The following is an 11766-nucleotide window of genomic DNA, read 5'->3' as shown; positions in this document are numbered from 1 at the left end:
ACCTACCTCATAGGGTGGTAGTGAGGATGAGAGAAAATGGTGCATGGCTAGGAGCAGTGCCTTATGGCACCCAGAATCCAACCACTTCCTTCCACCTCCACTGCCACTGCAGTGGGCTGAGCACCATCATCTCCTCACACACCCCATAGTCTATTCTGCACACTGCAGCCACAGATCCTGTTAACATTTAAGTCATATCACATCTGCTCAAAGCTTCCAACAACTCTCATCTCCTGGAGTAAGATCCAAGGTCATCAGAGTGGCCTCAAAGTTCACAAGATCATCCCCCACTCCAGCTACTGTCACTGTGTTGACTTTTGTCATGCAAAAATTTTTTTGTTTGTATAGCCAAATTTATCAACCTATCAAGTGTTTGGGTAGTCAACTATATCGATCTATCTTATATGGCATGTGAGTTTTGAGTCTTGCCTTCCCCATATGAGAGTAGAAAAAGGATTCTCCCATGTTTTCTTTTTAGTATCATTATTATTTCATATTTTATACCTGAAGCTTTGATTAAATCAGATTGAATTAGAATTAGTTTGAATTATATTTATTCTAGTGTGACGTATGAGAAAAGGAGTCCAAATTTTTCTTGCCAGAAGATTACCTGATTGTCCCAAATCTATTTATTAAGTAAATAGATGTTTTGCTTTTCAATGTTAAATGGGATTCTATTCTTTGACTATATCATAATGTATTTTCCAATCCCCTATTGCTGGGCACCAAGGTTATTTCTCTTTTTTGTTTTTTGCTATTTTAAATAGTGCTGAAGTACACAATAGTGAGTTTCTACTTACAATGTTGAAACTTGAACTAAATATTTAAGGATTTTTTTTTTTTTTTTTGAGATGGTGTCTCGCTGTGTCTCCCAGGCTGGAGTGCAGTGGAGCGATCTCGGCTCACTGCAAGCTCCGCCTCCTGGATTCACACCATTCTCCTGCCTCAGTCTCCCAAGTAGCTGGGACTACAGGCACCCGCCACCACACCCGGCTATTTTTTTTGTATTTTTAGTAGAGACGGGGTTTCACTGTGTTAGCCAGGATGGTCTCGATCTCCTGACCTCGTGATCCGCTCACCTCGGCCTCCCAAAGTGCTGGGATTACAGGCATGAGCCACCACGCCCGGCCGGATGATTCTCAACTGTATTTGTACTCTCAAATGCTATGAAAATAAAAATGAGAAAGGAAGAACAAGTAGTCATACCTTATTTTCTGCTTTAGAACTCATTAGAATTGAGCAGTTTCAGAAAGGCCACTGAAGTACTAGTTATAGAGACAGAAAAGTTGCAGATTAGTTTGAGGAAAGTTTAATAAGTTGGAAAGTCAGTGCTTTTTCTAAATCATACCTGAAATCCCATCATTCATTTCAAGTTGTGACTTTGCATCTCCGAGAATACTTTGTAAAAATGGAAATGTCTTTGTTTAGGCATGACACTGAGGATATGGCACTGGTACCTCATACAGGATTGGTTTCACATGTTAATACCAATGTGAAACCTGGCTGAGATTGAAGGGTTAAAAGAATTTTGGGAAGCCATTGAGGAAAAAAATGTGGAAAAAAAAATCTAGTCAATAGTTTGTCACTGTGGGCAGAATCTTATCCAATCAATTTGGCTTTGGATAATAGAACAAGCTTTAGTCCAGTCCAGAAAGGTAGGAGAGGAAAGCAGGAAATTCTGGTCCTTCCCAGTGTGGGGGCTGTACCTGGCTGAGATGTCATAACTCAGAGGAAGTGATACCATCCTATCACGGACTGCAGAGTCCAGTGGCATAAGTCACTCATCCTGTCCTCTCATAAACTGTAAAGGGACATTCAGCTACTATTAGTACGTAGCTGAGAGGCTGGCAGGAGGTGGCAGTTATTTAAAGGCAGATGGTTATTTCACAAGTGTTAAGTAGAAACATAAAAAATACTAATTGGATAGTCAGACCAACTGATTATAGTAACAGGGTTTTGTTTCACCTCTTCACTGAAGAATTATAACTCAAACTTGTCGTGTTGCATAGTGGCAAGAAGACCCCACCTTCATTCCCACCCAATTCAAGAAATCAGCTGCCTGTTTGCTATGGTCATAGGGAATAACAAAATTCCGTTTTAATGGCAAGTAGATCTTTAGTCAAGGGTTGTATGATTAGCAAAAAGAAGAAGGAGGAGGAGAAGGAAGAGGAGGAGGAGGAAGAAGGAGGAGGAGGGGGAGGGGGAGGGAAGGAAGGAGAAGTAGAAAGAAGAGGAAGAAGAAGAAAAGAAAGAGAAGGAGGAGAAGAAGGAAGAAGAAAAGAAGAAGAAGAGGAGGAAGAAGAAGAAGAAGAAGGGGAGGAAGAAGAAGAAGAGGAGGAGGAGGAAGAAGAAGAATTTTTATTCTTTTTTAAAATTATTTTTGAGATGGAGTCTCGCCCTGTCGCCAGGCTGAAGTGCAGTGGCGCAATCTCAGCTCACGGCAACCTCCGCCTCCCGGGTTCAAGCGATTCTCCTGCCTCAGCCTCCCAAGTAGCTAGAATTATTATTTAATAAAATAAATCTTATGAGACCCAGCCCTTTGAGAGCCTTAACTGAAGGCAAAAAAAATGTTATTAAGAGGCCAACCCAGCTTCTGTTTTTCTCTGGGGCCTTGAAGTCTCTTCCATTTCTCCTGCTTCTACCTGGAGTTTGAATCTGATTTCTCATCTGGCCCATTGGTGGCTCCAAACAGCCACAGGCAAATGGGAACCTTGGCCCCTGAATTCAAATGTCGTATGTGTCCAGTGACTCCAGCAAACTCTCTCAGCTTATTTGGGTCCTGAATCCAAATGCCAGTGTCTAGTTCATTAATAATCCTCTTGGAGCTAGTGTCATGCCAAAGGAGCATGGGGTCTGAACGAACCTTAGCTCTCTCATGTCCTAGTTTTGCAGTGGCTTAACCTCTCTGAGCCTCAGTTGACCCAATTGTAAAACTGGGGTAGTACAAATTCACAATTCTTATCTGAAACCCTTGGATCAGACATGTTTTAGAATTAAGAATTTCTCCCCCCAAAATACTGTGCTTCTACCTGCAGGTTGAATCTGCTTTCTCATCTGGCCCACTGATGGCTCCAAACAGCCACATGTAAATGAGGAATTCAAATGTTATATGTGCCCAGTGCCTCCAGCAAACCCTCTCAGCTTATTTGGGTCCTGAATCCAAATTCCAGGAAGAGAGAATTGCACTGGTCTAGCTCGGATCAGTACTTCTTATACTTGGCCAATCATCTGTGATGGTGAGGGATGGGATGTCAGAGTAAAACATACTGCCGTTTTCCAGTATGAGCATGAGGAAAAGGCAGGAAATCCAAAAGCAGAGTATGGCCAGTGTGGAGAAATGGCTATCACCCTTGTAAGGGACAGTTCAGCCAAGGCTGCCGACTGGCAATTTAGGTCATGCAAATTTTTTTCCATAAATTAAGACTTTTTTGATTGCATAAAAATTAGAAATGTCTAACAAAGAACCTCCTAAACAGAATAATTAAGCCTTGGAAAATTACCTATGTAACAAAACTGCACATTCTGCACATGTACCTCAGAACTTAAATAATAAAAAATTTAAAAATACATGATATTTGCACATGTATTTGTCCTTGTTTTTCTCCTTTAAGCCTTTATAAGTGAACAGCGTCAATGAGTTTCTTCAAATAGACTTCTGTCAGTCTAGGTGATCTCCATTTTTTTTTTTTTTTTTGGGTGGGGGGTCTAATTTCAAATCACCATCATCCATGTAATCTATTCTAAAGACAGAAGGAAAACTTATATTTAGTGCAGTTTTGGATATTTTAACAGGCTTTATCATTTACAAATTATTTCGTTCATGTGTTTGAGTTGTCAGGAATTTTTTTCCTGTACCTTCAGTTCCATGCTCTTTCCTTCCATCCAGAAGCTTCTTGGGAAAGCAACTTGTCTTTCCTAAAAATAAGTGTTTTCACCCAGACCATCCATGATTTCCTCCTGAAGTTGTTTTACTTTCTCTATGGCGTTTTTGGCATTGGTCACTTGGGAGTGACAGGATTTTGATACATCTTTGAGTGACTGTGTCTATCTTTGAGGTGAAGCCATCATAGCTCCATGAAATGAAAATCTGGGGCTCACTTTTCTGTTCTTTGTGGAGAATGTGTATGACAACCTCAAGTAAAAACTTGAACCTGTTCAAATATTTATTAAGTCCTGCCAAATTCTCTTTGTAACTTCAGAGGAGTGGCTGCTTGATCAACTAGTATAATCAGTCTAATCGATTACACTGACTTTAAGATATTCTTCAACCTGAGCAGAAAATCTTTTGACTAGCTTTTTTTTTCTCCTCCAAGTATGTTGGCTCTTTGCTATAATAATTGGGGCAGCATATATCAGAATCTCCCAGAGAGATTCAAAGAGACTTAGGCCGTGTCTCAAGCATTCACACACCATCTCCAGAGCCCTGCACAGCGGCTCCAGGAACAACTGGCTGGGAAGACATTTTGCTGGCAATCAGCAGGTCTTCCATGGCTTCAAAAGGCACCACTGCTCTGCCTCCAGCTGCCAGTATCCTGTGGGCCACAACTAACCACAAAAAAGCCTGCAGCTGTGGAGCAGTCCGCTTCCAACCCAAACAAGTGCCTGGCATCCAGGACAGGCCATCAGTGGGTTGGGAGCCACATCGTAGAAAGACAGCGCTCTCTGATTTTGATTTGCTCACTGCAAAAATAGAAAGTGGCCAGGCACGGTGGCTCACGCCTGTAATCCCAGCACTTTGGGAGGCCGAGGTGGGAGGATCACAAGGTCAGGAATTCAAGACCAGCCTGGCCAATATGGTGAAACCCCATCTCTACTAAAAATACAAAAAATAGCCAGGCGTGATGGTGCACGCCTGTAGTCCCAGCTACTTGGGAGGCTGAGGCAGAAGAATCGCTTAAACCTGGGAGGCAGAGGTTGCAGTGAGCCGAGATCGTACCACTGCACTCCAGCCTGGGTGACAGAGTGAGACTCTGTCTCAAAAAAAAAAAAAAAAGAGTTATTATTTGTACAGTACATTTGAGCCAGTGGAAAATGCTGATTGCAGCCAGAGGAGATCATTCATGAGCTCTGACCATCCCAATCCCTGGCTGGCCCTGCAAGAAGCCTAGAAGCTAAAGCAGTGCCATGTCATTACCCATTCTGTGCCCACAAGCATGTCAGGTAGTAATGGTGGGGCACACTGCAGCAGAAGACCTGTGTCCACACCCATGGGTGAGGCTCTTTCTTCCGAGTCCAAGCTTCCTTTGGCAGCAGGGAAAGTTTGATCCCACCTACAAAGGTCACAGGACCTCTGTCCACTGAAAGGTCCTCCACCCGTTTGTGTTTGGTCAGTCCAGGTGGGCAGGGACAGAGCCCTGAAAGACCTCAACAAGGGCATAAACTAACAGCCCTGGATTTCAATAACTGAATTAGCAATGTCTTAACATTTCACAGATTTTCTTTGGGGCCAGCTGCCCCATTCCAATCCATGTATTCCTGAATCAGGGGAAGACTCTCCCCCAGTGGTAACTTAAGTGGCCCAGACTCTTTATATCATGTTGCCCTGTCCCGTCCAGCTCATGGCTCCCAAGGGTGCCCTGCAATTGGTCTCCAGTCCACGAAGTCATCTTCAGAAGTGTGACTGCCTCTGCAGAGAAAACAGGTCATTTTTGACTGAATCTACCACCATTTATTTCTTTTCTTCTATTTTCTCTTTTTTTTTCTTTTTGAGGCAGGGTCTTGCTCTGTTGCCCAGGCTGGAGTGCAGTGGCATGATCACAGCTCACTGCAGCCACAACCTCTCAGGCCCAAGTGATCCTCACACCTCAGCCTCCCAAGCAGCTGAGACTACAAGTGTGCACCACCATGCCCAGCTACATTTTTTATTTTTTTGTAGAGATAAGGGTCTCATTATGTTGCCCAGGCTGGTCTCAAACTCCTGGCCTCAAGTGATTTTCCCACCTCAGCCTCCCAAGCTGCCAGGATTATAGGCATGAGTCACCGTACCTGGCCTCCATTTATTTCATTAAACAACATCTCCCTCTCTTAGTATGTCACTAGGATTCTGTCATGACTGACTCATCCTCAGTATCTTTTTTTTTTTTTTTTCGAGACTAGGTCTGGCTCTGTCACCCAGGCTGGAGTGCAGTGGTGTAATCTCGGCTCAATGCAACCTTCACCTCTCAGGCTCAAGCCATCCTCCCACCTCAGCCTCCTGAGTAGCTGGGACTACAGGTGCACACAACCACATCCAGCTTATTTTTGTATTATTTTGTATTTTTTGTAGAGACAGAGTTTTGCCATGTTGCCCAGGCTGGTCTTGAACTCATGAGCTCAAGTGATCCACCCGCCTCAGCCTCCCAAAGTGTTGGGATTACAGGCGTGAGCCACTACCTGTAATCCTATCCTCAGTATCTTTACAAGAGAACTGTCAGCAGAGGCTGATCTGGGGTCTTGGAAGATTCCAGGTTCAGGCTCCAGGTGCCCAGTGGAAGTGGAGGATGGCATCTCTGGCAAGGCTTGCGAGAGGGTAGAGAGTGGCCACATGCCTAATGAAGGAACAATGGTTTATCATTCATTTAAAAAGAAAATGGTCATTTCAAAGTTTATATCCTATCTCTAAAGAATGTACTCACCGTGGGGGAAATAAGAAGGCTACAGAGGATTTTAGGCTGGGCTCTTTGATTTGCAGTGACAGAAACAAAGCTGGAGGTAACTTAAGGCAACCTCGGCTATCAAGGTGCCCCACAATATGTGGAGCAGCAGGAGCCACGGCAGCCCTGGGGCCTCGTGGGAATCAGGGAGTCACCCATGCAGGGGCTACTCTGTCTGTCGCGGGTCCCAGAGTCAGGAAAAGGTCTCCAGGTGTTGATGGGTAGGGTTCACCCTCTCAGGTTTCTGCATGTGGTGGGAACTTGGCTGGCATTTCCTTCCCCACCTGCTGGGGCAAGGCCTCCAATTGGCTGGGTGCAGTAGCTCATGTCTGTAATCCTAGCACTTTAGAATGCTGAGGTGGGAGGATCACTTGAGACCAGGATATCAAGATCAGCCTGGGAAACAACAACAGTTATCTGCCAGTGAATAGGAAAACCACCAATGTACGTGAGACCCACAGTTTCTGCACTCAGTGAGCCTGGTGCCTTCTCTTCATTAGCTTACACACCTGATTATACCTGGTCCTTGTCATACCCAGGATGACTCTCCTCACTACACCCACTGCCTGACCATACCAAGGTATTTGTTGGTAATGCAAATTCTTGGGCCCCAGGACAAACCTACTGAATCAGAATGTATAGGGACAAGGGCCTGGAAACCTTCATTTTGAACCAACACCCATGGTGATTCTTACGAAGACTGGATTCATCCACTTCATTCTTATCTTACTTTTCCAGAAGTCAAGTCTTTATGATGAGCTGCTATTGCTCATGCTGAACGCTCTACTCGAAATACCTTTTTGAGTTTTCACATGGAAAATAAATTCCTACTCTTCTTCCAGGCTTAGATGTCACTTCTGTGAAAGATTCACCACCACACTTAGCCCTATGTATTCTCTGCGGACTATGTACCCAACAGAACCAGTTTCCCCCTTAAACACCCTTAGCTCTCTATACATCTGTCATAAACATAACATATTGTCTATGTGTTTCCTCTCACCTCCCATCCCAGACTGTGAGTTCTTCAAAGAGATGAATGTTATTTTTAATCCTCAGAACTGACCCATACCTGGTATTTATTATGAAATGTTGCTTAAATGAATGTTGATTAAAATTTACAACTTCATGATTAGTAAATTAAATATGACTTAATAGGCCATTATTTTGTTTTCTGCAGGTACAGATTTCTATCTTTCAAAAAACCAACTAATTAACCATTTTTAAATCTTTCAAAAAACCAACTAATTAACCTTTTTTAAGTATGAAATTTACAAAGACATAAAAAGCATAAGAGAACAGCCAAGTATATTTCAGAGCAAACTGACTGATTAATTATAATTTCTTTTGGATTAAATTATGCCATGTTAAATGGTCTACAGTACTACAAACAACATTAAATGAGTTTTTATATGCATTTATACTGACTTCTTATTTAGTCTGGGCAATAATTTTCTAGGGAATGTGAAAATTTTCTAGGGAATGTGAGTCTCATCATGAGTTTCCCCCATAAGTTACAATAAATAATACATCCATAAGAGATTGCAAAATTGTCCTGGATGACATAAAAAGCCTATTACCCAGCTTTAATAAATAAACAAACAACCTAAACTCCATAGCTTCTCTTTTACCCCCACGTTTCTGAGTCACTACCATGAGATTTTACGGGATGGATAGCATGCCATTGCATTATGCCAGGACACGTTTATGATGCTGGAGGGTTTGTTGTGGTTATATAAATTAGTCCAAAATACGTAAGTTGCCAATTCATCTTTCATAGTTCCACTAAGAAAGTTCATGAATTGAAAGAAGTGTGTGCACTTGTATTTCTGAGCCCCTTAATTTATCTTTTTGAGTAACCTTTTGAGGTAGGAGACAGGCACAACCTTGCTGACCAAAACAGGATCTGGTCTAAACCTTGTTTTCTGGTCACAACCTTGCTGACCAAAACAGGATCTGGTCTAAACAGGATAAAGTGAAGAAACTGGTAGGAACCAGCAGATGGCTACCAAAGCAATCCATAGATGCCCTCATTGCTCATTAGCATAAGACACTCCCACCAGCACCATGACAATTTACAAAAGCTATGAGGATGACCTGGAAGTTACTACCCCTTTGCTAGAAAATTCTAAACAAACTGCCCCTCAATTTGCATCCACCCACCCGTTAATTTGCATGTAATTGAAAGCAGGTTTAAGTGAGTATAAATACAGCTGCCAAGAACTCATATGTTGTCAACTTTAGCTGCACTGCCTATGAGTTAGCCCTGCTCTGTAGGGAGCAGTACTATTCAACAAAAGATGCTGTCTAACACTGAATTCTTTCCCGGATAACCTTCCTGGGCAAAGCTCCAATTTGAGGGCTCATCTGTTCTGCAATACTTTGATAAATTAAGCCTTTCTTGCCTTTATCTGTTGCTGTGCTTCAGTCAAGGTTTTCAAAGCGCTTTACAAACACAAAGCCATCCTTCACTTGTTCCTTAACTCAGGTGTGGATGAAACCAACTTTTGTGGAAGAAAAACAAAAACAAAAATCACCAAGGCCATTTGAAGTCTCTCAAGTGTTCCAGGGCACCAAATTTAGAAATCTGAAACACACACACAAACAGAATTCTCGCTTGGATTATCCACTTATGGGTTTTATTTGACAGCAGTTAACCAAAAGTCTGATCTGGAGACTGGCCCAGACTAAAAGGACAGAAGTTAATTTCACAGTGAAGCTACAAGTTCAGTTTTCAAGTGAGTGGATGTCATCTGACCAAATAACCATCTTCCAGGGCCGTTATTTCTGCAGTTTGATTTGACTGCTTATGACTTTGGGTTCTCCTTCTACAGACAGGGAACAAATGTTTGCTTCCTCTCTACAGAAGCCAGGCAATAGAGGAGGGCCCAAGTGGAGTATGAAATTCTGTGTGATCTGTTTTGTTTTTTTGTTTTTTTTTTAATTGCATTTTGTACTGGAGAGAAAACATTTATTTTTTACTTTTTTTAGTTACCATTGAAGAATTTCCCAACAAAGTTTTTGCTACAGAGAAAATGCTTTTATCTCTCTATCTATACTCCTGCTCCAAAATTTAGATTCAACTATTATAGACGCATGAACAATTTTTTAAGTATGATAAATGCAATGTAGTCTTACAATGATGTGGTAGTAGGTTAGGGCAGGGCTGGAGATAAAAGTGATAAGTCTGAATTAGTTTAAAAAATTAATTACACTTTAAAATACTGTCATATCAAAGACAGAGAACATCTCCCTTTTATCCTGTTTTAAAATAAGATGAAAACAAAACAAAACACCTGCTGCCATTGGTGAGCGTTACCTGTGAGTTCTGTTCCAGTAGTTCCAGTAACTAAGTGGCCTCTTCATGGAGTCTTAGAACACCATAACACAAGTCCTGTTTTGCTACTGGGAGGTATTTATCTTTTTTTTTATTATTACTATACTTTAAGTTTTAGGGTACATGTGCACAATGTGCAGGTTAGTTACATATGTATACATGTGACATGCTGGTGTGCTGCACCCACTAACTCTTATATCCAAATCTTTTTTTTAATTTAAATCCTGAATTTAGTACCATGCAATAATTTGCACGTTTATATATTATCTGTTGTAATACCCAGTGTCTACAATGTGCAAACTGGACATACATTATTGCTAAATTAAGCATGTGAAATTTCTTTTCTGGATATTTTATACTAAATTGATCTTTAGGAGAAAAATAAAGTGCTCAGTAATTTGTGGGAAGCAGTTTCATCATGCCCACTGCATCTTGGGACTGCAGTTTCTACCTCTCGCATGAGTCTGGTGAGACAGAACAATCACACAGCAAAGTAAGTGAAGCAACTTTATTCCTCACAGATAGGCAGCAAGGGACAATAAAAGCTTAAGATTCATGGCAGGTCTGTCAAAGCTCAGGATAGTTTCCCAGGGCAGTTAGAGTCAGCTACATGCAGTCTAGTCTGCATGTAGCTGAGGGACCTTCAAAGCATGCTCCACTCTGGGTTTCATACCTAGGGGATACTTGACGTCCTGGGCTAAAGCACCATAAGATCCTGTTTCAGGAGGGATGGGAACACAGCTTAGTTTGATCTGGCCAGTTCCTCCTTATCTGAGAATGTTCCATTTCCAGCACATTCTACAGTTATTCTGAGAACTACAAGAGAGAAAGAGGGGATGAGCTGGGTCACCAGTGCAATCCGAAGACTTGTTCTGTAAGCTGCTCAGACATTGGGATGAATTTATAGACCTAATCTACTACTGTCTTTATGTTTCATATTACAAATAAAAAAAGAATATATAATACTGTTGAAAAATCAGATGCAAAGTGTTTCTGTGTAAAGGAGGATCCGTAATATCACTTGATTTAGATTCTAAAATATATACTGATAAAAATATTTATAAAATTATTTCTATTTTTATTTGGTCTATATTAATTTTTAGGATAATAGCTACCAGATAGTGAGCACTCACTGTGTTCCAGCTGCTAGCTTAAGTGCTGTCTATGTATCCTTTTATTTAATCTTCATGACTGTAAGGCAGGCACTCATATTATCTCCATATCACAGAGTTAGAAATGGACACTTAAAGTAACATATCTGCCACCCAGCAAGGCAATGGCCAAACTTAGATTCAAACATAGATCAAAAGATACTGGAATATTGCTTCTGAATTGCAGGTGATTCCTTAGAAGCTCAAGAAACCAACTGGGGAATCATCAGCACCATAAAAAAGTAGAGAATAAAATAAAATGACATAGACTAAAATAGTATAGAAAATAGCCCAGGGCATCACAAATAGAGAAAGTATTTTTCTGTGAAACTTTTGTTTTAAATACACATGCACATATGTCTGTGTGAACTGATTCTTCATATAGAGTGCATTACTCACTCTGGGTAATGTCTTAAAATATATAAAATATACACTATGCTGAAATCAAAAGCAATAGCAATCTGCTTCTAAAAGGCTGAACATTCGAGCTTAATTTTTAAAAGCTATGTATAGTGACTATTATAGGATGTTAGATACATGTTGGCTCACAGCTGAGTATTCTATTCTATTTTTTTAAATTCATGCTAAAAGAAGAAAAACATTGTAAAATCAATTCCTCTTCCAGCAGATTGATAGAATTCACAACAAA

The 11766-nt window shown here is 41.2% G+C and overlaps 1 protein-coding gene across 12 annotated transcripts in view; it reads right to left on the bottom strand.

The window, feature by feature from the left end:
• The window catches only part of GDA (guanine deaminase), a 145262-nt gene continuing 137646 nt past the window's right edge, over positions 4151-11766 (bottom strand). For 6 of the 12 annotated variants that reach the window (XR_001746424.3, NR_147240.2, XM_047424099.1 and 3 more), the window contains one exon: positions 10460-10782. The gene's annotated coding sequence lies outside the window, so the exon portion shown is untranslated. Of the gene's footprint in view, positions 5627-6372; positions 6528-6614; positions 9217-10459; positions 10783-11766 lie in introns of those variants that run through there. The other 6 variants (XR_007061376.1, XR_007061381.1, XR_007061378.1 and 3 more) reach the window with 4 other exon arrangements.

The sequence above is a fragment of the Homo sapiens genome, chromosome 9, assembly GCF_000001405.40.
Source record: "Homo sapiens chromosome 9, GRCh38.p14 Primary Assembly".
Taxonomy (NCBI): Eukaryota; Metazoa; Chordata; class Mammalia; order Primates; family Hominidae; genus Homo; species Homo sapiens.
Note: the sequence above shows the minus strand (reverse complement) of the source record. Positions and strands in the feature narration are given on the sequence as shown.